The 24058-nt window shown below is 48.8% G+C and overlaps 1 protein-coding gene across 1 annotated transcript, besides 29 other annotated features; it reads left to right on the top strand.

Annotated features, from left to right (window-relative positions):
• Positions 162-12319: a promoter, noted in NCBI's record as "12 kb region for complete renin regulatory region; -12166 to +16". NCBI's record gives its function as "promotes expression in kidney and renin-expressing cells" and the evidence as "EXISTENCE:transgenic organism evidence [ECO:0001131][PMID:12163396]".
• Positions 162-16475: a biological region, named in NCBI's record as "REN promoter and enhancer region". NCBI's record gives its function as "regulatory_interactions: REN".
• Positions 1076-1287: an enhancer, noted in NCBI's record as "h202E or KE (kidney enhancer)". NCBI's record gives its function as "required for full transcript levels in transgenic model" and the evidence as "EXISTENCE:knockout evidence [ECO:0001091][PMID:16990260]" and "EXISTENCE:reporter gene assay evidence [ECO:0000049][PMID:10488050]".
• Positions 1076-1294: a conserved region, noted in NCBI's record as "conserved_region; HEMM; 77% identity to mouse". NCBI's record gives the evidence for it as "EXISTENCE:sequence alignment evidence [ECO:0000200][PMID:9314837]".
• Positions 1162-1182: a protein binding site, noted in NCBI's record as "WT1ir". NCBI's record gives its function as "negative regulation of enhancer activity" and the evidence as "EXISTENCE:protein binding evidence [ECO:0000024][PMID:18496514]".
• Positions 1246-1253: a response element, noted in NCBI's record as "enhCRE". NCBI's record gives its function as "mediates response to cyclic AMP and response to beta-adrenoreceptors and low salt diet" and the evidence as "EXISTENCE:reporter gene assay evidence [ECO:0000049][PMID:21424707]" and "EXISTENCE:transgenic organism evidence [ECO:0001131][PMID:21424707]".
• Positions 1270-1289: a response element, noted in NCBI's record as "HRE (hormone response element)". NCBI's record gives its function as "may contribute to induction of expression by peroxisome proliferator activated receptor gamma" and the evidence as "EXISTENCE:reporter gene assay evidence [ECO:0000049][PMID:17785633, PMID:18483152]".
• Position 1286: a sequence comparison, noted in NCBI's record as "sequence_comparison; C in human genome results in decreased activity relative to T in mouse genome". NCBI's record gives the evidence for it as "COORDINATES:sequence alignment evidence [ECO:0000200][PMID:10488050]".
• Positions 6427-7018: an enhancer, noted in NCBI's record as "-5870 to -5279; includes polymporphic C/T site (rs12750834); T variant has increased activity". NCBI's record gives the evidence for it as "EXISTENCE:reporter gene assay evidence [ECO:0000049][PMID:12473863]".
• Positions 6520-6745: an enhancer, noted in NCBI's record as "CE (chorionic enhancer); -5777 to -5552". NCBI's record gives the evidence for it as "EXISTENCE:reporter gene assay evidence [ECO:0000049][PMID:9737995]".
• Positions 6641-6679: a transcriptional cis regulatory region, noted in NCBI's record as "footprint C". NCBI's record gives its function as "important for enhancer activity" and the evidence as "EXISTENCE:reporter gene assay evidence [ECO:0000049][PMID:9737995]".
• Positions 8386-9484: a transcriptional cis regulatory region, noted in NCBI's record as "NRR (negative regulatory region); -3916 to -2822". NCBI's record gives its function as "important for negative regulation by tumor necrosis factor alpha" and the evidence as "EXISTENCE:reporter gene assay evidence [ECO:0000049][PMID:9853270]".
• Positions 10497-10551: a response element, noted in NCBI's record as "nCARE (negative calcium response element)". NCBI's record gives its function as "mediates negative regulation by calcium" and the evidence as "EXISTENCE:reporter gene assay evidence [ECO:0000049][PMID:12569263]".
• Positions 10510-10533: a protein binding site, noted in NCBI's record as "nCARE". NCBI's record gives the evidence for it as "EXISTENCE:protein binding evidence [ECO:0000024][PMID:12569263]".
• Positions 11238-11258: a response element, noted in NCBI's record as "THRE (thyroid hormone response element); -1066 to -1046". NCBI's record gives its function as "mediates response to thyroid hormone" and the evidence as "EXISTENCE:reporter gene assay evidence [ECO:0000049][PMID:11208763]".
• Positions 11721-12155: a promoter, noted in NCBI's record as "-583 to -149; contains positive and negative regulatory elements". NCBI's record gives its function as "strong promoter in JEG-3 cells" and the evidence as "EXISTENCE:reporter gene assay evidence [ECO:0000049][PMID:2540188]".
• Positions 11930-12237: a transcriptional cis regulatory region, noted in NCBI's record as "-367 to -67". NCBI's record gives its function as "contain multiple negative regulators of expression in chorionic cells" and the evidence as "EXISTENCE:reporter gene assay evidence [ECO:0000049][PMID:8156625]".
• Positions 12040-12075: a protein binding site, noted in NCBI's record as "ARP-1-REN or COUP-TFII-REN; includes footpring E". NCBI's record gives the evidence for it as "EXISTENCE:protein binding evidence [ECO:0000024][PMID:8914017, PMID:15368359, PMID:17455195]".
• Positions 12045-12060: a transcriptional cis regulatory region, noted in NCBI's record as "-259 to -245; direct repeat (DR)". NCBI's record gives its function as "negative regulation of transcription" and the evidence as "EXISTENCE:reporter gene assay evidence [ECO:0000049][PMID:17455195]".
• Positions 12070-12105: a protein binding site, noted in NCBI's record as "CRE_REN or hRENCRE or proxCRE; contains footprint D". NCBI's record gives the evidence for it as "EXISTENCE:protein binding evidence [ECO:0000024][PMID:8999953]".
• Positions 12070-12105: a protein binding site, noted in NCBI's record as "CRE_REN or hRENCRE or proxCRE; contains footprint D". NCBI's record gives its function as "mediates response to cyclic AMP" and the evidence as "EXISTENCE:protein binding evidence [ECO:0000024][PMID:8645191, PMID:8999953]".
• Positions 12155-12168: a protein binding site, noted in NCBI's record as "Pal3". NCBI's record gives its function as "promotes gene expression" and the evidence as "EXISTENCE:protein binding evidence [ECO:0000024][PMID:18483152]".
• Positions 12155-12168: a protein binding site, noted in NCBI's record as "Pal3". NCBI's record gives the evidence for it as "EXISTENCE:protein binding evidence [ECO:0000024][PMID:18483152]".
• Positions 12156-12307: a promoter, noted in NCBI's record as "-148 to +4 promoter". NCBI's record gives its function as "active promoter in multiple renin-expressing cell lines; drives expression of transgene in juxtaglomerular cells of kidney, lung, and adipose tissue" and the evidence as "EXISTENCE:reporter gene assay evidence [ECO:0000049][PMID:8420924]" and "EXISTENCE:transgenic organism evidence [ECO:0001131][PMID:10516288]".
• Positions 12163-12196: a protein binding site, noted in NCBI's record as "huREN/CNRE". NCBI's record gives its function as "mediates response to cyclic AMP" and the evidence as "EXISTENCE:protein binding evidence [ECO:0000024][PMID:15353176]".
• Positions 12222-12244: a transcriptional cis regulatory region, noted in NCBI's record as "RP-2, also called PPE (proximal promoter element); -78 to -60". NCBI's record gives its function as "mediates activation by POU class 1 homeobox 1" and the evidence as "EXISTENCE:reporter gene assay evidence [ECO:0000049][PMID:8420924, PMID:8645191]".
• Positions 12270-12305: a protein binding site, noted in NCBI's record as "Ets-REN; includes footprint A". NCBI's record gives the evidence for it as "EXISTENCE:protein binding evidence [ECO:0000024][PMID:8914017, PMID:15368359]".
• Positions 12304-23822, top strand: REN (renin). The gene is made up of 10 exons (NM_000537.4): positions 12304-12445; positions 16478-16628; positions 17226-17349; positions 17963-18081; positions 19046-19242; positions 21272-21280; positions 21845-21964; positions 22322-22463; positions 22723-22821; positions 23464-23822. The coding sequence occupies exons 1-10, from the start codon at positions 12348-12350 to the stop codon at positions 23623-23625; spliced, it is 1221 nt and encodes a 406-aa protein (NP_000528.1). The 5' UTR covers positions 12304-12347; the 3' UTR covers positions 23626-23822.
• Positions 12448-16475: a silencer, noted in NCBI's record as "intron A". NCBI's record gives its function as "negative regulator of gene expression" and the evidence as "EXISTENCE:reporter gene assay evidence [ECO:0000049][PMID:8760248, PMID:9166895, PMID:10419062]".
• Positions 15928-16007: a protein binding site, noted in NCBI's record as "site 1". NCBI's record gives the evidence for it as "EXISTENCE:protein binding evidence [ECO:0000024][PMID:18632798]".

The following is a 24058-nucleotide window of genomic DNA, read 5'->3' as shown; positions in this document are numbered from 1 at the left end:
TCTCCTGGTGAGGTTATTCATGCTTCATAGTCTCACTTGTATGCACTGCTGGGCTCAGGACCACATGGGGGTCATGGTGCTGCATACATGGTGGGAGGCAGGGGATAGATGTGGGAGTGAGGACATGTTTGGTTGGAGAGTGCTGGGTCCCCAGGGGACCTAGATCTACTGGTAGCTCAGGGCTTCACATTGCCTGCTCTGGACCTCCTGGCTCTGCCTTTGCTGTTGAAGAGTCCGGAAACTTAATCAAAAATAGATGTGAGGGTTCTGCTGCACTGTACTGGGTGTCTAAACTATACTAGACGTGGGGCTTAGAAGAGCTCCCCTTTCCACATAGAAAAGCTCTATGGGGTTGGATCACTCTCTACAGATTCTTCTTTTGAATCCCATTGGCTCTCCCAGTTGTTCCTGACACCCATAGCCACAGAGAAGGAGTCACAAAGTGAAGCCCTCAGCTTGTCCTTCTCTAAGCTCTCTGCAGCCTCAGTGGCCTCATCTGAACAGTGCAGATGATAGTTACCACTTCATAGGGCTGCCTAGAAAACAAAATCCAGTAGTGTTCAAATCACCTCATAGCACATCATAGATGCTCAAGAAAGTTGGCTGGTGTTACTCACATTCTGCTGCAGCCCCTAGGCTGACCCCATCTCTGACAGTCCTCCAACTTGTTCTCTCCCTGCTCCTTGCTCCCTTTCCTCTAGGGTTTGCTGAGAGCAGAGGGAGAGAAAGGGTGGGTGGTCAGTCACCCTTGCTGGCTATGACAGGTTGCAGTCATGGTGGGAAAGGAGACAGCATCACTCTTAAGCACTCTCCTGAGATTCATGATGGACACTCCTCCAGCAACGCAGGGGCCCTCGAGCTCGAGGTGGAGAGAAGTGAGATTCTGGGGCAGGGCACCCACCCAGGTTCAAGCCCAGCAACTGTACCCATGAGCAACACAGGATATGGTGCAGGAGAGATGCAAGTCCCCACTCTGCCACTTACCATCTGCAAATCATGACACACTGCTTAACCTCCTAGGTCTTGGCTTCCTCCTGTTGGGGAAACTGATCCACTCACCTCCCAGGCTGATGTGGACACTGGGAGAAGACCCTCTTCCCTTCAGGCCCTGCTTTTTTGCCTTGGACCCTCCACACACTCCCTGCTGTCATTACTGGACTAGCAGTTCCCGCCCTGTCATTTATCAAAGACTTTGGCTCCTGATTTACAGACTTCCTCCACCCCTTGCCCTCTGCAACCTCCTGATGACATCACCAACCACGCAGATGGTGACCTGGCCATACTGGCCTCTCAGATCCTTGGGGCCCCATTTCCAACAACCTCACCCCTCCTCTACTTCAGCTATCCACAGCCACGTCCTACTTGGGACTTATCACTTATAACCACTTCCCCTCCAGACTATCTCAAGCATCCCATGCTCAGCCAGCTCGTCCTCCAGCTTTGTGGTTCAACTGTTCCCACCAGCCCTGCTCACTCTTCTCAATTGCCATGGTCCTTTGCTTCCTTCCAGATCATCCATTCTGTCCTGTCTTGACTTCTCTAGCCACCTTACATTCCACAGTTTTTCATTCAATAACAGTTTTTGTCGTTGTTGTTGTTGTTGTTGTTGTTTTGAGACAAGGTCTCACTCCATCACCCAGGCTGCAGCACAGTGGCAACAATCACAGCTCACTGCAGCTTCAACCTCTTGGGCTCAAGCAATCCTCCACCTCAGCCTCCCAAGTAGCTGGGACTACAGGTGGGCACCACCATACCCCAGTTGATTTTTGTACTTTTTTGTAGAGACGAGGTCTCACTATGTTGCCCAGGCTGGTCTCAACCTCCCAGGCTCAAGCAATCCTCCTGTCTCGGCCTTCCAAAGTGCTGGGATTGTAGGCATGAGCCACTGCTCCCGGTCCAATAACATTTTTGCTAAAACCTTAAATTCCTTTGTCCCTCATCTTTGATCACCCTAGCCCTGGATGAAGCCAGCTATATACTTTCTCTCCATCTGTATCCAAGGAGCTGACACTGTGGTATTGGTAGGGGGAGACAGAGAACCAGGCCAACTGGCTTCCTTTAAAGTCATGATCTCCAGCCATTAAATGTCTTCATTCCTCACAGAAATCCTCTTGGTTTCCCTGGCCACCTTCTTCCCACTTTCCATAATGATTCCAGAGCTTCTCCATTTTTCTCATGCCTCCAAACCCCCTCCCATCCCCAACTCTCAGCAGAGGTCCTTGCTTCCTACTTGTCAGAGAAGATAACAGCCACCAGACAGGCAGTCCCTCAGCTTCCAATGCCAAGCAAATCAACCACTAACACCTGCACATGCCTTGCCTTCTTTCCTCCTGCTGCAGTGGAGGGTCTGCTCCATCCTGCTGTTTCCCACCCTGTATACTCCTTCCCTCCCAGGAATCCTACTGCGTTAATTAACTCTTCCTCTCAACTGAGTGCTTTCTATGCATTAAATATACTCAACTCCCTCCCATCATTAGAAAAGATTGGCAGTGCAGCGGGATAATTAAGGAATCAGAGAGACCGAGGGGTTGAGGAGGAATTATTTAATTATTTAGGTGCACCGACCCAGTCGGATTAACATCTAAAGGACTGAGCCCCGAACAAAGAGTCAAGCTACCTTTTAAGCATTTCGTCAGGGAGAGGAGGAGGAGAAGGAAGGAGGGAAGGAGGAGGAAGAAAGAGAAAAACCTCTCACCTGGTCCTCGTTCTCCTCCAGTTATCGTCACCCTCTTTCCCCTTTTTTACTCCTCCACTTTTCAAAATAGCTGCCTACACTATGTTGTCTTCATCTTCTTACTTTCTATCCTAGTCTGTTCAGGCTGCTATTAAAAAATACCATAAACTGGGTAGCTTATAAACCACAGAAACTTATCTCTCACAGTTCTGAAGTCTGAGAAGTTCAAGATCAATGCATTGGCAGATTTGGTGTCTGGCGAGGGCCTTTGTCCTGGTTCATGAGTGGCATCTTCTTGCTGTGGCTCACATGGTGGAAGGGGAAAAAAGAGCTCCCTTGGGCCCCCTTTATAAGGGCATTAATCCCATCAGGACTTAATCACCTCTCCAAAGGTTCATCCTCCTAATACTATTATATTGAGGGTTAGAATTTCAACCTATGAATTTTGGGGGACACAAACATTCACATCGTAGCACTTCCCATCATTCATCAACCCATCCCTGTGTGGACTCCCACCCCTCTGAATCACCAAAACAGCTCCCACTGACAGCACCAGTGGCCCGCATGTCTCCATTTTAACCCAAGTCTCACCTCACCCTGCAGCAGCACCTACTGTCCCTCACCATCTCTCCTTAAACAGTCTCTCCCTGCAACTTCAGAGACACCTGCTGCTCTCCTCCTTCCTCTGTGGCCACTCCTTTGGGGTCTCCTCTGCAGATTCCTCCTCTGCTGCTTGTCCTTAAAGCTTAGAGTCCAGGGCTTTCTTGCTGCTCACCTTCTCCCTGGCTAATTTCATTCATACCTGTCGCATTAATCACCAATTGCAAATAACACATAAATCTTTCACCCGGGTTTATTTATGCACCTGCCATTTGATATCACCCCTGGGATGTCTCAAAGGAGATCCATACTCAACAGTTCCTCAAACTTATGGTCTCTCCAACCCTCTTCCCCTTCTGAAATCCTCGTTCTCTTCCATCACTCTATGTACCCAGAGTGCCTCCAAAAACCAATCTCTTCCTCACTCTCTATATCCGATCTGTCACCAAGTCCTGCAGATTCTATTTCCTAAATTTCTCTCAAATCCATCCAATCTTTTTCATCTTCACCATGCCCAAGTACCCTAGACCAAGCTAGTTCTAGCACCATGACCTCCTAACTGGTATATGCCATGCTATTCTGGACCCATCCCCACTCCTTGCTAGTCCACACTGCAGCCGAAACACATGCAAAACACATCTAATTACAACATTCCCTTCTGTTTTTTTTTCTTTTTTGAGACAAAGTCTCGCTCTTGTTCCCCAGGCTGGAGTGCAATGGCGCAGTCTTGGCTCACTGCAACCTCCACCTCCCGGGTTCAAGGGATTCTCCTGCCTCAGCCTTCAGAGTAGCTGGGATTACAGGTGCCTGCCACCACGCCCAGCTAATTTTTGTATTTTTAGTAGAGACGGGGTTTCCCCATGTTGGCCAGGCTGGTCTTGAACTCCAGACGTCAGGTGATTCGCCCCCCTCGGCCTCCCAAAGTGCTGGGATTACAGGCGTGAGCCACTGCACCTGGCCCATCAGTCCCTTCTTCACCTGTCTGCAAAAACATCTAATTACATTCATTCACTTCTTAATGGGTCAACAGCTTCCCATGGCTCTTAGGGTAAACACAGAACTTCCTAACATGGGATGCAAGAACCTTTATGGTTTGACACTCAGCGCATCTATGTACTGGGTTCTGGGCCACACAGCCTAAACTTACTGTCTGACTCTGGCCCTTATTGCCAGTGGGACCTTGGGCAAGTTACCTTTTGAATCCTCTTGGGCCTCAATGTCCTCATCTGTAAAATAGTGATATAATGCTACAACCTCATATGGTTATTGTGAGAATTAAGTGCATTAAACACCTAGAGTGGTATCTTGCACATAGTAAGTATTCAGTAAGTGTTAGCTCTTTCAGCTCCTGCCTCTGGCCACATGTCTCACCCCGCTCTCTCTCATCTCTCTGTTCTTGATATGTTGGCTTTTTTTGTTTTTATTGACATCATCCTCTCTCCACAGGGCCTTCGCACGTTCTGTTCCTGCTGGGACTCTATTTCTTTGTCTTCAGCTATTCATTGCCAATGCAGCCTTCAGATCACAATGCGAGTATAATTTTGGGTGGGAGGGAAGCTTCCTGGAGTTCCCTGACTGGCACTAGTCATCAGCGCTATTTTATATTTATGCATGATGATAATAATCTATCTCTTCCACAAGACGGTGGGATCCATAAACAAGAGCAGAAACTGTGTTTATTTTTGTGAACTTTGTAACTCCAGCATCTAGCAGAGTGCCTCACATTATAATAAAGGCTCCATGAATATTTGCTAGTAAATGAAAGAGGACTGAAAGAGCAATTTAGGGGTGCTTCATAAATGTTCATTTATTCTGACAAGATACCCCTACCATGAAGGATCTAAAAGTATTCCCCTGTCCCCAAATAATTCCCCCACTCCCAACCACAGTTCCTGAAAAATCACCACTAGGGTCCATCGTTTGGAAAGGGCCTTATCATCTCTGAGGTCAAAACACATTAATTAGCCAAAACATTAGCCACAGAGATGAGCTCCTCTCATTGTCTGTACTGCCCACAGCTGGTGTGGAGCTGGTGTAGAGGGCAGTACCCTGGAGGCACAGAATATTAGAATATTAGGGTATCAGAGCATGAAGACACCCTTGGTGCCATCCAGCCATCTGCTTCACTGTACAGATTTGGAAACTGAGGTCCAAAGAGGAGAAAGGAGGGATCCAACATCACATAGCAAATTTATGGTAGAATGAAGACTAGGATCCAAGTCCCTGACCACCAACCCAGGGCTCTTTGCACTGCCCATTGCAGTTCACTAGTTCATCCACTTAATAAATATTAAGCACCACTGTGGGCAAAAATCATATTCATACATACATAAAGAACTCTGCTGCAAAAGCAGCTAAGTTGGTGCTGTCATAGAAGGGCTTGTAGCCATGCTGTGGAAGCCTACAGCAGAAAGCAGTCAATTCCAGGCTGAGTCAGGGCCTGCTTCATGGAGGAGGGGGTAATATTTGAAGTGGGCCCTAAAAAATAATCAGGGAAAAGCCAAGATAGGCATCTTAGCCTGAATAAATAGCACTCATCCTGGGATTTAGGGACCAGATGTCTGTCTGGGGAGCTGTACTTGACTGCTTGTAAAGCTACAGGGAAAAGGAAATGAGGCAGAGAACCAGGGCCTAAAAGGGAGTTAGAGCCAAGCAGAAAGAGGAGAATAAGTTGGAAGATCAGCTGCCCTACCTCTATTTAGCAGAAGCCAAAACCCTGAAGACTGCCCTTCTCTCCCACCCTTACTAGGTCAACAGAGGATAGACAACCCCCTCCTCCCCCAGCTCCCTGCTTCCAGAGGATTATGTAACCAAATCCAAGCACACACCACTCACCACACAACAGCAAGTAAGCTGAGAGGTAAGGTGTTGGGGCAAAGAAAGCGACCCTATTCAGAAAACCAAGAAGATGGTGGACTAGCGTCATAAAGAACCATCTGAAGTCAGCATGACTTTTAGGTTACTTTTTACATTTAGGGGAGGGGGAAGAGGAAGAGGTTGGGATCAAGAGGTGACTGATGACCGCAGACACCTGGGTGCCAGCAAGGGTCTGAGGAGTATGTAAAAGTTCTTTTTTCTAGGTCAGGTCACAATGTTCCTATAAATCTTTAACATAACATTGTTATTTCTCTGTATTCTTCCTTATCTCCTTGGGGCTTAGTTTGGGGGAAAGAGCTGTTATCATTTTTTTAAGTTGAACTGCAAGCTAATCTATAATTAGCTGGTCTGTGTACAGAGCTAAGCAGAAGCTTTTAACCTAAAAGATATTACCCCTGGGGGTCAGAGGCAAAATGGAGTCAGTCATGCTAAGCCTCCCTCCACTATTTCAATTTCCCCATTGTCAAAGGTTCATCCCACAGTCTTGTGGGATTGGGGAAAATGAGACATCATTACTCACCTGGCTACTTCCTGCCAAACAGGGTTGACAAGGGGTGACTATGGAATGAAACCATTTGACCTGGCTAAGGAAATATTTCGTAGTGCCATTTTTAGGAACAATGATCATCGGCATTTCCCTTTTTGCTTTGATAGTTTTAGCGAGACTTGCACAACCTTTGTTTACACAGTACATAATAAGTTTTACTAGAACGTAGGCCACCATGACTAAAAGAAGAACATCAAGGCTGAATTTAAGAATGCCTCCCAAGATTGATGGAATTACACTAGGAATCCAGGAGAATAGGTCTTTAAAGCAGTCTCTGTAAGTGCCCCCAGATTAAGCCTGCTTTGGTGTTCTAAGGTTTGTTAAAGCCAGGTAGCCTGTTGTCTAATTGTATCAATATGGGTCTGTAGAGGAGGAATTAAGCTAGCAACAGGTGGCTAGCTTAGGGACGCCATTTGGTAAGTAGAAAGTAGGCTTGCGGCTGGGCGCGGTGGCTCACGCCTGTAATCCCAGCACTTTGGGAGGCCGAGGCGGGTGGATCATGAGGTCAGGAGATCGAGACCATCCTGGCTAACAAGGTGAAACCCCGTCTCTACTAAAAATACAAAAAATTAGCCAGGCGCGGTGGCGGGCACCTGTAGTCCCAGCTACTCGGGAGGCTGAGGCAGGAGAATGGCGTGAACCCGGGAAGCGGAGCTTGCAGTGAGCCGAGATTGCGCCACTGCAGTCCGCAGTCCTGCCTGGGCGACAGAGCGAGACTCCGTCTCAAAAAAAAAAAAAAAGAAAGTAGGCTTGCAGGCTTGTGGGTCCTTATTATTGCTTTGCATGTAGTGTCTAATGAGGTGCTGCATAAGAAAGAAACATGGGGCCTCTGGGTATGGAGTTATCAATTGGATCCTATGTATGATTTGAGAAACCAGCTTCTATAGATCTAATGCCCAAGAGGCTACATGACTAAAATTATGTGTACAGGAACAACTAGAGGATCAGAGTGGTCATGTACTGAACAAGGTTTAAGATGACAAATCTGGCAGTGTGATATGCTAGTGAAAGAGGCAATAGATTGAGAAATCCTAACTCAAGAGTTGTCTTGCCAAGGAAACAAAAATCTCTAAAGGACATGCAAGACACATAGGGGATACATTTTCATTGTACTTATCTTTTTGTGAAACAGTAGCTTTCGGTCTTTCAAGTGCTCACAAGCCCACTGTTTTCCTGGTTTCCGGATTAGTGGGCTGTCTTCTGGTGGTACTGCCTTGACCTGAGTATAATGTGCACATGGCTTTACTCCAGCAAGTTTAACTGATAAGCGTGTGTTCACCAGCAGCTCAAATGGCCTTGTCCACTTGGCAGCAAATTGGTGTTCAGGTCCTTGTTCTTTCCAGGTATTTAGGAGGATCTAATTTCCCAGTTGAAAAGGATGTAGGACCACATCTGCTGGATGAGTGGTCCTGCTAGAAGCAAACTCATGAACAGAAGTTAGTATAGTGCCTAGAGTCTTAATATTTGGTAATTGCCAAATCTCTTAAAACATCAGTTGGTTCTCCCACCAGGACAAAAACCTAGAATGGGCTACCAGATAATACTTCAAAGGGGCTCAATTTGAACCTACTTGAGGGAGCCACTCGAATCCACAACAGCAATCAGCAACATCTTATCCCAAGTCAAATTAGTTTCTTGATATATTTTGGCAATGCTTCTTTTTAGAGTATGGTTCATCTTTTCAGTTTTTCCCATGGATTGTGGTCTCTAAGATGATAATCTAAAGGTTTCAGGAAGAGACAAGTCACAGCTCCCCTGACACTCCTGTCACCATCATAGATAGTCTTTGAATTAAGGTAGGTGGGTATTAACTACAGAATACGTTGCCCCTGTATCAATAAGAAAGTCAATAAGTTTGTTCCCCACTGTCAATTTTACCCAGGGCTCCTGTGGGACTATGACAGCAGTTGGCTAAGCATACATATTCAATGTATGTATGTTACAGAAGAAGCTACGAATATTTATGAAGGTGATCCTGACACATGCGTATTGTACAAACATGCATGTTACATATGACCCATGTTTACCTTGAGGTGAAAGCGTAACATTTAAATGTACTACAATTAGGCCCTGTACATCAAAAGGTCTTTTCAGAACACAAAGGCATGCAAATGCACAATCTCTATAACTAGCTAGAACCAGTTCATGGCCAGCAGTCTTATTATCAGGAGAAAATTAGTGAAATCAGTCTTTTGTTCAATCAAAGCTATAGTTATGGCTGGTGGAACTGGGGTTCAGTTAGTCAGCATCTATGAACTGGATGAGTTGAAATTGTTTTAATATTGCTTGTCTTAAGGCCAGTGCTTGCTTAGCTGCTAGAGAAAAAGAGAAACCTTGTGTCATTGAGAATATAGCTTATTCTTTAAGTGTAAGGATGCATGACTTAACTCTTGCCTGGCATGGCCTTAGGTCCTGTTTATAATATGGTATTTTATTGCCACAAAATTTCAGTTATGTCAGTCTTATGACCTCTATTTTAACATTAGTGTTGATTAGTTATTGTATCTAAACCACAAAAGGGAGAGGGTATAATGAGGCGTATCTGACTTCCCATCACATTATACCTGAAGACTAAGTTTTTAAGGTTTTTCTGGGGTCCCCTTAGCCAAGAGGGGGTCCATTCAGTCAGCAGGGGGCTTAATATTTTATTTTTAGTTGACATTCTCCCATTTGGCCAAGATATACCAAAGGCAGCATAAATGGCCAAACTTTTATTTTGTTCCATATTGTTGCTGGGGGTGTTGTGGCTATGTGCCCCAGGTCCATCACATCCCTTGGTAGGATCCCTGTGGCTAAGGAACTCAAAGCCAAAAGACTTGTAGTCAATTAAACGTTTTAGGCCATTTGGTAAGGGAGGTGGCCAAGCATTCATTAACCCTTAAAACCTTTTAAGTAACATAAGAGCCAAAACCAAAAGCCAAATAGCAAAGGTACAAAACTGACCTTTCTATAAGTTCTATGTGTTGAGCCATCAGCTGTTTAGGCATCTGTGTACCTATATTTGGAGGATCTGAACTAATTTTACTCCTTAAAAGTAAAATTAGTACATCAAAAGGTGTTTTGTGCCCACCTCTTCCATGAGCGTCCTTGGGCCCAGAGGGATTTAATAGTTTTTTAAATCCTGGAGATATTAGGTACAGAGAGAAAGGTAAACCCAATTTCTATAAGCTATAAATAGCTCAAAAAGAAAAAAGGCGGGCCAGGCGCAGTGGCTCACGCCTGTAATCCCAGCACTTTGGGAGGCTGAGGCAGGCAGATCATGAGGTCAGGAGATCAAGACCATCTTTGCTAACATGGTGGAATCCCGTCTCTACTAAAAATACAAAAAATTAGCTGGGCGTGGTGGCACGTGCCTGTAGTCCCAGCTACTTGGGAGGCTGAGACAGGAGAATGGTGTGAACCCAGGAGGTGGAGCTTGCAGTGAGCCGAGATTGCGCCGCTGCACTCCAGCCTGGGTGACAGAGCAAGACTCCGTCTCAGAAAAAAAAAAAAGGCTTTCTTGACTCTGGAAAACAAAACATAAAGAATTAGCAACATTTCAAACTTAATTTAGGATTAGATTTTGAGGACATTTGTCAAAATGTTAAAGCCTCAAACCATTTGATCAAAACAGAACCGCCGGTCTTTGTAAAATAATAATTATTCATTTCACAAAAGTGATAATTAAAAGACTTTAATAGCAATACAGAAAGTTACATGAATATAAAGACTTAACCTTTCTAAAGCTCAGTTTTCCTAAGTAATCAAAAACCTGATAAAGATAACAAGAATGAGGAATTATCTTGAGAAAATGTAAAATCTTTCCTTTTATTTTTTGAGACAGGGTCTCACTCTGTCATCCAGGCTAAAGTGCAGTGGCACAATCATAGCTCACTACAGCCTTGAACTCCTGGACTCAAGTGATCCTCCCGCCTCAGCCTCCCCAGTAGCTAAGACTACAGGCACGCACCACCACACCCAGCTAATTTTTTTCAGAGATGGGGTCTTGCTATATTGCCCTGGCTGGTCTTGAACGAGCTTCAAGTGAGCGTGAGCCTCCTACCTCATCCTCCCAAAGCACTAGGATTACAGGCATGAGCCACTGTTTCCCAGCCTAAAATAATTGTTTCTTAGGCCAGCTACCAAAAACGCAAAGAAAAACTTTCTGTAGTGTGATTGCTTCTTCTTATGGGAAGCCCATTTAGATAACCTGTAAGTCAAACCTGATGAAAACAATACTTGAATGTAATCAGACACAGAAAGACTGTTCAAGGCTATGAGTAGCTGAGTCCAAGCTCGTATCACTTGCCACACAACAGCCAATAAGTCTAGAGACAAGGTATTGTGGCAAGGAAAGCTACCTTATTCAGAGAACCAGAAAACCAAGAAGATGGTGGACCAGCATCATAAAGAACCATCTGAAGTCAGCATGAACGTTAGGCTCTTCTTTATGTTAAGGGAAGGGGAAGAAGAAGGGGATTGGGATCAAGAGGTGACTGATGACCACAGACACCTGGGTGCCAGCAAGGGTCTGAGGACGTTGTAAAACTTCTTTTTTCTAGGTCAGGTCACAATGTTCCTATACATCTTTAACATAACATTGTTATTTGTCTGTATATTTCCTTATCTCCTTGGGGGTTAGTTTGGGGAAAGGAACTGTTACCATTTTTTTTAAAGTTGAACTGCAAGCTAAACTCCTATAATTAGCTGGTCTATGTACAGAGCTAAGCAGAAGCTTTTAGCCTAAAGGATAATACCCCTGGGGGTCAGAGGCAAAATGGAGTCAGTCATGCTAAGTCTCCCTCCACTCTCTTTCTTTTTTGAGATGGAATTTCACTCTTATTGCCCAGGCCGGAGTGCAGTGGCATGATCTCAGCTCACTGCAACCTCCGCCTCCTGGGTTCAAGCAATTCTCTTGCCTCAGCCTCCTGAGTAGCTGAGATTACAGGTGTCCATCACCACACCCAGCTAATTTTTGTAGTTTAGTGGAGATGGGGTTTCACCATTGTTGGTCAGGCTGGTCTGGAACTCCTGACCTCAGGTGATCTACCCACCTTGGCCTCCCAAAGTGCTGGGACAGGTGTGAGCCACCATGCCTGGCCCCTCTACTCTTATAATTAAACCAGCTGTTGCTTTTCCTGCCAAGAAACCAGTCATGAAGATTCACCCATGTTCTAGATGGGAAAACTGGGCTGTAGCCTGGGAGAGGCCAGTCAGGGACAAAGCCAAAGTTAATATAGAGAATGGAGCTTCCAGGGTATAGGGGTTGGGTCTGGGCTAGGGAGCTGGAAACCTAGGTTTTACGCTTGTCCCAGTTTTGATGTTAGCCCTGAGCAGTGCTGTTTCTCATCAGCCTCTGCCTGCTCCAGGGGTCACAGGGCCAAGCCAGATAGAGGGCTGCTAGCGTCACTGGACACAAGATTGCTTTCCCACAGCTGTCCTTCCTCCAGCCCCTCTGCTCCCCATCCGGAAACCTGGGTACCCTTCACCCACCTAGCTCTGTCCCGCAGTGAGATTTATTGCTGACTGCCCTGCCATCTACCCCAGGGTAATAAATCAGGGCAGAGCAGAATTGCAATCACCCCATGCATGGAGTGTATAAAAGGGGAAGGGCTAAGGGAGCCACAGAACCTCAGTGGATCTCAGAGAGAGCCCCAGACTGAGGGAAGCATGGATGGATGGAGAAGGATGCCTCGCTGGGGACTGCTGCTGCTGCTCTGGGGCTCCTGTACCTTTGGTCTCCCGACAGACACCACCACCTTTAAACGGTAATTGGTAACTCAGGCAGAGAAGGGGTGGGAGGGGTGCAGGGTTCCCACCTTCCCAACACCCTGGCTTTTCCACATGCGGTGTCATTCAGTCCTTACGATCAGCTGGACAGGGAAGTATGGACCTGTTCAGAGAGGTCAAGTGACTTGCCCAATAAATGACACTAGTAGTCAGGTCTAGAAGCTGTGACTTTTGCTTCCTGCCCAGAGCACCATGCTAACTAAGCACTGTAGAGAACTCAGAAGTATTAGGACATGCCCCTTGCACTTGAGGAGCTCACAGCCTGAATATTAAGAAGGGCATGGGTGGTTGGGCGCGGTGGCTCCTGCCTGTAATCCCAGCACTTTGGGAGGCTGAGACGGATCACTTGAGGTCAGGAGTTTGAGACCAGCCTGGCCAACATGGGGAAACCCCATCTCTACTAAAAATACAAAAATTAGCCGGGCATGGTGGCAGGCACTTGTAATCCCCAGCTACTCGGGAAGCTGAGGCAGGAGAATCGTTTGAGCCCGGAAGGTGGAGATTGCTGAGCCAAGATCGTGCCACTGCACTCCAGCCTGAGTGACAGAACAAGACTCCATCTCAAAAAAAAAAAAGACGGGGGTCGGGGCATGGGTACAGTTAACTGTACCAGGGAAGCAGCTTGATATCGTGGTTAAATGCAAGGCTTATAGAGTTAGATTGCCTTCATTTAAATTTTGCTTCACTAGCAGAACAAACTAGGTCTGGAATCATGGGCAAGTTATTTAACCTCTCCAAGTCTCAGTTTATCATTTTAAACAGGTATGATAATAACAGTACCTACTTGATGGGGCTGCTTTGGGGATTTTAGGAGATAAGGCATAGAAAGCTGGGCACGTTGTAAGAGCCCAGCTACTGTTAGTACTACAGGATAGATTCTTACAAATATCAAAAGCAAGGTTTGGCCGGGAGCAGTGGCTCACGCCTATAATCCCAACACTTTGGGAGGCCGAGGGGGGCAGATCACCCGAGGTCAGGAGTTCAAGACCAGCCTGACCAACATGGAGAAACCCTGTCTCTACTAAAAATACAAAATTAGCCGGGCGTGGTGGCACATGCCTGTAATTCCAGCTACTTGGGAGGCTGAGGCAGGAGAATCGCTTGAACCTGGGAGGCTGAGGTTGCAGTGAGCCGACATAGCGCCATTGCACTCCAGCCTGGTCAACAAGAGCAAAACTCAGTCTAAAAAAAAAAAAGAAAGAAAAAAACAAGGCTTTAGGTAGCCCACAATTAGAAGGAGAAAACCTTAGCATCCCCTAGGTGCCAGGCCTTGTGGGAACAAGTGATTCATTAAGACTGTAGAAGGAAGCTGGGCACGCGGCTCATGCTTGTAATTCCAGCACTTTGAGAGGCTGAGGTGGGCAGATCGCTTGAGCTCACGAGTTCAAGACCAGCCTAGGCAACATGGTGAAACCTTGTCTGTACAAATACAAAAATTAGCTAGGTGTGGTGGTGCAAATCTGTAGTCCCAGCTACTCGGGAGGCTGAGGTGGGAGCATCACTTCAGCCTGGGAGGTGGAGGCTGCAGTGAGCAGAGACTGACCCACTGTGCTCTAGCCTGGGTGATAGAGCCAGACCTTATGTAAAAAAAAAAAAAAAAAAAAAAAAGACTGAAGAAGGGGAAGAGACAGCATTTGAGAAAAGGCCTCACAGAGAAAGGGGTTTTCAATCTGGGGACAGCAGATATGACCAGCAGTCCTGAAGGTAGGGAGGCACACTTTAATAATGGTAATAGTTGCTAAGCCTATAAAATGCTTAGGGTGTCACAGGATCTTTTCACATGTCTCATCTCAAGTCATGCCCCCAACAACTCAGCATTCCCACTTTGCAGATGAGGACACTGAGGCTCAGGGAGGTGATATGTAAGAGGCTAAGCCTCAACACACACTGGGCCTTTTGCTTCCGAAACTGCTTTCCCTTGCTCTGAGGCTCTCGGAGAGTAATTGCTGGGTTGTGAGCACTGGGTAAGAGGATGGGTGCTTCAAAGCAGCTGCACTCCAGGATAAAGGTAGAGGAAAGTAAAAACATCTTCCCCTGCTGTTATCCAAAAGAGAAAAAGAATGGAATTGGGCAAGGGGTGGAGGGGGAATCCAGCTTTTGAAACAGTATTATAGGAATTTTGCTACCCGCTATGTGCAGAGCATCATGCGAGGCACTTGGGACAGCTGAATGAATGAGCTCCATTCTCAAGGTGAACATGTACATATACACACCTACAATTTACATTTATTGAGCAGTGGTCGCATGGTTTCATCTGCACAGTGACTCTGAGGTAGGTACTACCATTAGGCCCATTGTTAGAGAGGGGTTAATGGAGACTTAGAAGAGGCCCAGAGAGGTTAGGTAGCTTTCTCAGAATCACATAAGTGGTAAGGGGATTCAGGCATGCCCCCTGCAACCACTGTCTTCACCACCGTACGGCACCAGTTCCACAAGCTGTACAGTGTGGGCTGTGAGACCCAAGGAAAAACAGAGCTGAGGCCCACGGGAAGGTGAGGCCGGTGTGGGCTGGAGGCCTTGGGGTAAGCTTCCTGGAGGTGGGGGTACATGTTGGGCCTTGGAGGACTAAAGAACTGGGGGGAAAAGGAAGGGAAGAAGGAAAGGATTTTCTGAAAAGGAAATGGCAAGAAGTAAAGGTCCAAAGCATAGGCTGTTGTGAGTAAACAGTGGGAAATGCAACCTCTTTGGGGCCAAACCTCTGACCCTCCACGTTCCCAGCTGTGAAGTGGGAGTAATAAAATCATCCACCTTATGAGAGCAAATAAAATAATGATTGTGAAAATATTTTGGTAACAGTAACCTGTGATAGGAAGATAACAAATCATTTCTGTTACAATACCATGCTGATAGGCATAAAAGTTGCATTCATGTTCATGGGCAAAATGGGGGTAAGTAGAATGCATGGGACGCAAGAAGGATGTAGGAAGGAAAGGGTAGTGTGAGTATAGGAGGACTAGCCACTGAGAAGAAAGTAGAAGAAAGAGGGAATCTTTGTGTGTATGGGAAAGTCTATTGCAGAGTCAACTTGGGCTTCCATCCTGGGACCTTCCCGTGAACAGCTAGAGACATCTTCCTCTGGGCTTTGGCAGCCTTTATGTCGGGACCCAGGGGACCCTATATGGGAAATAGGGCCAGACACATGCTCTGAATCCCTGCTTCAACATTTCTGAGTCACCTTTGTCCCTGTGAGCCTTCATTTTTCTCATCTATAAAATGGATGACAGCTAGCTTGTTGGTGTGATTTCAGTAGCGGCTCAGTAGAGTCAGTTTCCTAGGTCTCTTTAATTCTGCCTCTCAAAGGTGATGGGAAAACATCTAGACAAGAAGCCAAGGGACCGGGACACATCTCTCCAAGGACGAGGTGCATGGCGCTCTGAAGATGCTGGCATCTCTCTAGGCCCAACCCAGCTCAGGGGGTCCACTCCACCACAGCCCTGGCTGGGTGCCTGTCCCCTGGTATCCTGGAGACCTTGCAGCTGCTGTGGGCATCTGCTGCCACCTAGCGGCCTCCCATGGCACTGTCTCCCCGCCAGCCCCTAGTTTTGACAGGGGCACTCCCTGGCATTAATCTCTTCAGAGGGAATGTCTGTGCCTGTTTCCTGTCTGTCCTCCCGCCAGGTGGAGTTCCTTAAAGGCAGTCATGATCATTATCTTTCTAGCTCCAGTGTCCAGCACAGTGAGGCACAAAGTAGTTGTTCAGCAGGTGATTACGGAATAAATGAATGAACGGACCAATAAACAAATAGCCTTGTCTAATCAAAATTAGGCAACAGAAGGAAGTCACTTCAGGGTTATTTAATCCCCGGGCAGCTGACTCCTCTAAATTGACTCTTGACAAGAAGTAACTCTTATAAATGCTCCAGAGGCCCTCAGCGACAGAGGTGATTTCCAGGTGGCTGGGCTAACGTTAAAGGTGGTTGTACTAAAAGCAGGGGTTTGGCCTCAGGGACTCCACCACTGTGGTGGAGGTACAGCACTTTTCTATTTTTGCTTCCTCCACCCTGGGCCAGGATCTTCCTCAAGAGAATGCCCTCAATCCGAGAAAGCCTGAAGGAACGAGGTGTGGACATGGCCAGGCTTGGTCCCGAGTGGAGCCAACCCATGAAGAGGCTGACACTTGGCAACACCACCTCCTCCGTGATCCTCACCAACTACATGGACGTGAGTGCTTGGCTCAGCCCCTCGCTCCCTCCCTGTCTCCTTTCCCTCATGGACCTAGGGCTTTCTTTGCTGCAAGACTCACCCTTTCCAAGCTGTGTTTGACGAAGGCGCTGAGTAGCACGTGAGCACCCTAGAAAATTCCCATTTTCCAGCTGGAAAGCCTGAGCACAGAAGACAGGAAGGCATCCAGGGGCCATTCAGGGGCAGGGTTAGGTTTGGAACTCAGCCCAGGCCTCAAGCCAGGTGTCACAGGTGGGTGGGAAGGGGTGTGTGACTCAGGTGGGGGTTTCTGTGACCTGGCCCAGCACAACCTGATGGCTTCCTGCCCCAGAGGATCCTCAAGAGTCAAGTTTGCTTCCTGCTTCATTCTCAATGTTTTGATTTTGCCCTCTTGTCTTACTGAGACTCCCACTTTCTGGGATGCCATGGGGAGATGCTAAGCCTCCTACCAGTTCCTGCAGGAAAATGGAAACCCCGAGAGGCTATAGGACCTCGCCTGGGCCAAGTCTCACACCGAGAGCCAAGAGTGAAGCCAGGCAAGACCCCAAGACCCAAGGTCCCCTGAGCCCCTCCAGCCCTCTCTTTTTACCCCCACAGACCCAGTACTATGGCGAGATTGGCATCGGCACCCCACCCCAGACCTTCAAAGTCGTCTTTGACACTGGTTCGTCCAATGTTTGGGTGCCCTCCTCCAAGTGCAGCCGTCTCTACACTGCCTGTGGTGAGACCTAAGACCCACAGTGCCTCTCCTCCATCCCCCTGCCCTACTGTGCATGAGCAATCCTGCCCAACACCCAGCTCCCATCCCTCTTGCCACCAAGGGAGTGGCTTCCTCTCTGCCTCTGTGCCCACTGACATGTAGGGGAGAGGGGAAGATGTCTCCCGTTTTTCTGATACAGCCACCAAGGTTAAAAACAAAAAAAGGTCCAAGAACCCCTGAGCACCCAGAAGGCCACTTCCCAGTCTTCCTGAGATTGAGACAGGACTGAATTCTCAAACCCATCCCAGGCACTCGGAACTCTTCCATCCCTAGTCTTAATCAACAACCTCTTACTAGGCACTTACTCTGTGCCTGGCATCTTCTCTGGTGTTATCAGTGTTAGTGATTACTTTAAATTCCTTCATTTAGGACAAAATTCTCGATGTATGGGCACATTAGGAGAGCCCAAGAAACCCAGTCCTTGATTGATGAAGCACATATTCCAAGCCCCCTGACCCTAGGGCCACTCATCCCTGCACCTAAGCTAACCAGCCATACCCACAATGCACCCTGCCTCTGAGTCCCCCTGTCTGGGCCACTCTTGGACAAACCTGAGCCTCTGTCCCCCTGCCAGTGTATCACAAGCTCTTCGATGCTTCGGATTCCTCCAGCTACAAGCACAATGGAACAGAACTCACCCTCCGCTATTCAACAGGGACAGTCAGTGGCTTTCTCAGCCAGGACATCATCACCGTAAGTTGGGCCGCCCTAGGTCATCTGCCCCGGACCCCTTCTGTCCCCAGGCCTCTCCTGACCCTCCAGGGCCCACACCTGCGGGGAGGTACACTGCAGCCCACTTGGAGCCTGGGGAGCTGAGGAACACCCTACTCTGCCACATCTGGCTGTTGCTGCAAAGCAGCAGTACCTATGGGGGAGCAAGCCTGGGCTACGGGCTCACCGTTGGGTGGTTTGTGGATGTTTTTGCATCTAACTTGCATGTAGGGCTTGTCCTGAGCCCCGTGGCTGCAGTCAAGTAACTCGTCCAAGTTCACCAGCTCTGACTGGGCTACACCCTAGACTGAAATCCAGGGTCAGAGTCAGGCTGAGTTTTAGGGTCAGGCATAGGTTTTAAGGTCACAGTTGAGGTTGACTCTGGGACTCAGGTCAAGGCCTGCTTTTCTTTTCCATGTGGCCCATGTCTGACCGTTTCCTCATCCTGGAGTTTCTCAGGCCCTGCTCCATCAGAGTTAGGGGAGGGGCACACGTGGCACCTGAGAGGAAATCAGGGTGATTCCTGCCTCCCTTCCTTTTTCTGTGAACTCAGATATAAAGGAGGGAGAAGGGCAAGCTTGTCTGTGCTAAAGAAACCCTTCGCCCATGATAAGGGTGGGGGCCAAGACCCAGTCCTGCCAGGCACGAAAGTCTGGCCACTGGGGAGGGGAGGAGCTCTTGGCAGCTTTTCTTTTGCTGCTTGGCAGGACCACCCTCTCAGCCTCTGCTCTCCGATCCCTGGTCAACTCTAGCTCTCTCTGGGCTCCGCAGCAGAGATGTGTATTGGCACAGAGTGTGTGCGTGCAGGGTTGAGGAAATACTCTTACCCCGATTTCTGTACCCTGGAGCATGTGTGCCCCTGGGATCCCTAGTGTGGAAGCCCAGACCAGACTCCAACCAAGGAGTGGGCAGTGGGCTTGGTCTCCTCTGGTCCTTCCTCCCACAGGTGGGTGGAATCACGGTGACACAGATGTTTGGAGAGGTCACGGAGATGCCCGCCTTACCCTTCATGCTGGCCGAGTTTGATGGGGTTGTGGGCATGGGCTTCATTGAACAGGCCATTGGCAGGGTCACCCCTATCTTCGACAACATCATCTCCCAAGGGGTGCTAAAAGAGGACGTCTTCTCTTTCTACTACAACAGGTGGGGACTGGGACTCCAAGGGCTGAGGTGGGGGGACAGGAGGGGAGAAGAGATGGGGAGTGGAAGGAGAGTCTGGGCCAGAATTGTAAAGTGTTTGTAATTAGGTGACAGCCAATCAATATCTAGAGCTGTACTAGCCAATATGGAAGGCACTATTGAAATTTAAATTAATTAAATACAGTTAAGCATCAATTAAGCATTCAACTGGTGGCTCTTAGTTGTACTAGCCACACGTCAAATGCCTGGCAGCCACGGTGGCTAGTAACTACAGTCTTATGACAGTGCAGATAGAGAATATTCCCAGCATGACAGGACATTCTAATAGACAGCGCCACTCTGGAGCAAGAGGAGATGCAAGGTGGGGGCGATGGTAAATAAGGGATTACTGTGACCTGTAGCCCTGCCTGTTAGGGCCATGGCTCCTCCCACACAGAGACAGCCAACTTCAGTCATCCATTAGATCCTTCATTCGTTTGTTTGCTCACTCATCAGTTCAGTAAATGCTATGTGCCAAGCACTGTGGTAGGCTCTGGGGGTGCAGCAGTGAACACAGTGAACAAGGCAGAATCTGTACTCCCCTACCCACATAGAGCTTACAGGCTAACAGGGAAGACAAGACATATTCCAACATAAAGAGTGTCACAGGCAGGCAGCAAGTGTGGTGCTGAAAACCATGGATGCTTTTCAATTCTAGGCTGAGCTTATATGCAGCTCAGCCAGCCTTGGGGAAGCTCTTGAGCAGGGTTGGGCTCTACTCCAAACTGCTGGGCTTAGAAAGATGGCATGAGTTGGAGACAAGAGAGCTGGAGGCAAAAGGGGCTGGGTGCAGTGGCTCATGCCTGTAATCCCAGCACTTTGGGAGGCCAAGGCGAGAGGATCGCATGAGCCCAGGAGTTAAGGCTTCAGTGAGCAGTGATTGTGCCACTGCACTCCAGCTAAGGCAACAGAGTGAGATCCAGTCTCAAAAAAAAAAAAAAAAAAAAAAAAGTCACAAGGGTAAGAACATGAGGCCAGTGGCAAAAAGAATAGAGGAGAGGATCAGAGTTCAGAGAAATCTCACAGTAAAATGGAGAGGAGTCTCCGGTTTGGTGATAGAAAGTGAGGCCTTGAGAAAAGGCCAATTGGCGGCTCTGCATTCAGGGGTGGTCTTTAGAAGAACTGTTTTAGAGGAAGTGGGGGCAAGGCCAGATGGCAAGAAGTTAAGAGGTGGACGACGTGGGTGTCAGGAAGTGGAGGTCATGAGATGTAGGCTGCCCTGGGACATTCAACAGGGAAGGGAATGGGGGGTGGCGTGGGGGGTGAGATCCAGAAGCAGAAGAGGAAGGGTGGGTGTTTTTAAATGCTAGAGGATGCTCGAGTGATGCCTGTAGGTGGAGGAAGAAGCCAATGGAAAGAAAGAGATTAAAAATGTGGAAAGAAGAGGAGCTAAATGGGGGCACTGGAGTTTGGAGGCCTTGAAAGAGATGAGGTTCCAGCAGACAGGAAGAAGCCAGGTTTTGCAGAGGAGAGGGCTGGCCTCTTCTTTTATCTTGGGATGGGAAGGAGGGAACATCCAGAGAGATACTGAAGTGTTGAGAGACAGGCAGGAGGGAATTTGTGCTAGCATATACACATACATTCCGAATTTATAAAAACACAAGTAGTTTGCAGTTGCACAAAATAACATATGCACACCTACACACCCATGCACACATGTGCATGTGTGAATTCTAGTATGAATTCTGGAAAAACACATCACACACACAGGCATGCCCTGGAGACTAGGCCTACAGTAGTCCCTGAGCCAAGTGCAGTGAGGAGGAAAGGAAGGTGAGGGGAATCAGCTCCAGACGGGGCACCAGGAGCCTGGCTCCAGTCCCCCACTTGTTCACTCATGGACTGGGTAACTTCAGGCAAGTGACTTCGCCTCTTGGTGACTCCATTGCCTGAAGGGCAAAGAGAGTACATAACACCCACCCTGCCAAACAGCAGGGCTGATGAGGCTGGCATGAAATGAAGCTTCCTTTCTGCTGTCTCTCTTTCTCTGCAGAGATTCCGAGTAAGGAGACAAAACCCCCACATGGCTGTGACCTTCCAGTACTCCCCGAGCACCTGACCTAGAATTACACACGCCACCGGCCCAAAACTCACATCAGCAAGCCCAGCCTCCGCTAGATGCCGAAGTTCTCTGTCTCTCCTTCCTGCTCTCTCCATGCCACCTGCCCACCCCATACCCAATAGCCTCCCCAGGGTCCCCTCCCATGCACCTGCTCAATCAGCAGCAACCCAAGAGTGAGGGGTGTCCATTTGTGTCTTGTTCACATCCACTCACTGTCCTTGTACCTGCTCCTTTTCTGTGACCTCTCTGGGGATGCTTTTTGGGGGAACAGCTGGACTACCCTGGAACAACCTCTGGTTGGTCTTGGGGAGGGGAAGAAAGGCAGAGAAGCAGTATGTTCTGCATGCTTCCCAACGACAGCTCCGAGCCTGGCTGTCTGTCCCACATTCCTCTGCTCTAGAGCCCTCTGTCCTCCCCTGCACCCTTGTGCAACCTTCCCCAATTGCCTGAGTTGCTGGGTCCTGGAGGTTATGGGTTTCCAAGAGCTTCTGATCTTTCCTTTAGGAATTCCCAATCGCTGGGAGGACAGATTGTGCTGGGAGGCAGCGACCCCCAGCATTACGAAGGGAATTTCCACTATATCAACCTCATCAAGACTGGTGTCTGGCAGATTCAAATGAAGGGGTCAGAAATCCTCAACCCTCCCCGGGCTCCAAAAAATGCTGCCGTCACTGGGGTTGGGGAGGGTGGGGAAGGACTGCATTACCATCCTGCCCTCTTTCCAAATGCAGCCACTTCTTAAGCACAGCCACCATTTGCTCTCTGCCTGCTCTGTCCAGGCTGGGGAACAGAGAAGGGAGGGGCCTGGGGAGAAGTGGTGGAGGGTGACAGTACCTTCCCTCCTCTACTCACTGCCTCAACAGGCCACCAGCGTGGCCTCCACCCACCCACCCACACTCAGGAAGGACATGCAGCCTGGAGGTGCCCCATCAGCCTTCTGTCTGTCTGTCTGTCTGTCTGTCTGACTGTGGCCTCCCCCAGGGTGTCTGTGGGGTCATCCACCTTGCTCTGTGAAGACGGCTGCCTGGCATTGGTAGACACCGGTGCATCCTACATCTCAGGTTCTACCAGCTCCATAGAGAAGCTCATGGAGGCCTTGGGAGCCAAGAAGAGGCTGTTTGATGTAAGAAGCCAAAGAGGGAAGGTGCTGTGGGTGGGGGGAGCGCCACCTGGTATCGGCTCACAAATCCCCCAGGCAAATGAGGCCATCTCAGGCCTTCGCTTGTTCACCTCACACTCTCCACACATGTGGCTGGTCACCCATGGGGCGGGGCACTGTCCCCAGCCCTCTCCAGCAGAGAGACCAGGCCACCAGCGCAGGACTCCTTGTCTGCTGAGACGTCTTCCATACTCAAGAAGGCTCTCTTTGCCCCCCACCCCAGTATGTCGTGAAGTGTAACGAGGGCCCTACACTCCCCGACATCTCTTTCCACCTGGGAGGCAAAGAATACACGCTCACCAGCGCGGACTATGTATTTCAGGTGAGGTTCGAGTCGGCCCCCTCGGTGGCAGGGAGAAAGGCTGGACAGAGACCCTCAAAGAGTGACAGATTACAATGCACAGGTCATGTTAGAACTGTAGTTCTCAAACTTGGCTGTGCATGTCACCTGGAGAGCTTTGAAAAATCCTGGTACCTGGGCCACATCCCATACCTATTAAATCAGAACCTCTAGAAGTGGCACCTGGGGTTCAGTTTCCCCAGGTGATTCCAATGTGTGGCCATGTTTGGGCATCACTATGCCTGTTCCCTCATCTCCATTTTCTCATCAAATACTCCCAAGAATCCTATGCTCCTATATTCTTACCCTCTTTTCATAATCAATAGGCTTAGAGAAGTTGAATAACTTGTCTAGGATCAGAAGCTAAGGCAAACTGTAAGCTCCTGAAGGAAGCACGGTGCCTGATGCATTGTTTGCCTGGGATCTAGCACAGGGGCTAAACATAGGAGTGGTGCAGTCCACGATGGGGCAAAATGGCCATGATGTGAGGGAGGCCCAGTGTGGCTAGGGGAGAGATGGGGGCGAGAGGGGGAATGTTGCTGAAGACAGTTGCTGGGGGTCAGGCAAGGTGAAAGGAGAATGCTCATGTGCTGGGTATGGAGAAACTCTCCCCCTTCCTGCCAGGAATCCTACAGTAGTAAAAAGCTGTGCACACTGGCCATCCACGCCATGGATATCCCGCCACCCACTGGACCCACCTGGGCCCTGGGGGCCACCTTCATCCGAAAGTTCTACACAGAGTTTGATCGGCGTAACAACCGCATTGGCTTCGCCTTGGCCCGCTGAGGCCCTCTGCCACCCAGGCAGGCCCTGCCTTCAGCCCTGGCCCAGAGCTGGAACACTCTCTGAGATGCCCCTCTGCCTGGGCTTATGCCCTCAGATGGAGACATTGGATGTGGAGCTCCTGCTGGATGCGTGCCCTGACCCCTGCACCAGCCCTTCCCTGCTTTGAGGACAAAGAGAATAAAGACTTCATGTTCACAGCCTGTTGCATCTGGGTTCACTAGGGTTTAGAACAGAGGGAGGGGCTGCGTGATCATGTGTGGACAGGAATGTGACACAGACAAGCTACACATTCGCCTAGCGCACAGGTTCTTGCGTGCAGGGATGATGCCATCCATCTGCCATCAACGGGACTCAGGTGGAGCTGTTTACACAACCTCAGGTGGGAAGTCTGAAAAGAGCCGGAACCAAGCTCCCTCTAGTCCCTCAGGGACCA

Source organism: Homo sapiens, chromosome 1, assembly GCF_000001405.40.
Source record: "Homo sapiens chromosome 1, GRCh38.p14 Primary Assembly".
NCBI classification, from domain to species: domain Eukaryota; kingdom Metazoa; phylum Chordata; class Mammalia; order Primates; family Hominidae; genus Homo; species Homo sapiens.
This window is presented reverse-complemented; position numbering and strand designations above follow the sequence as displayed.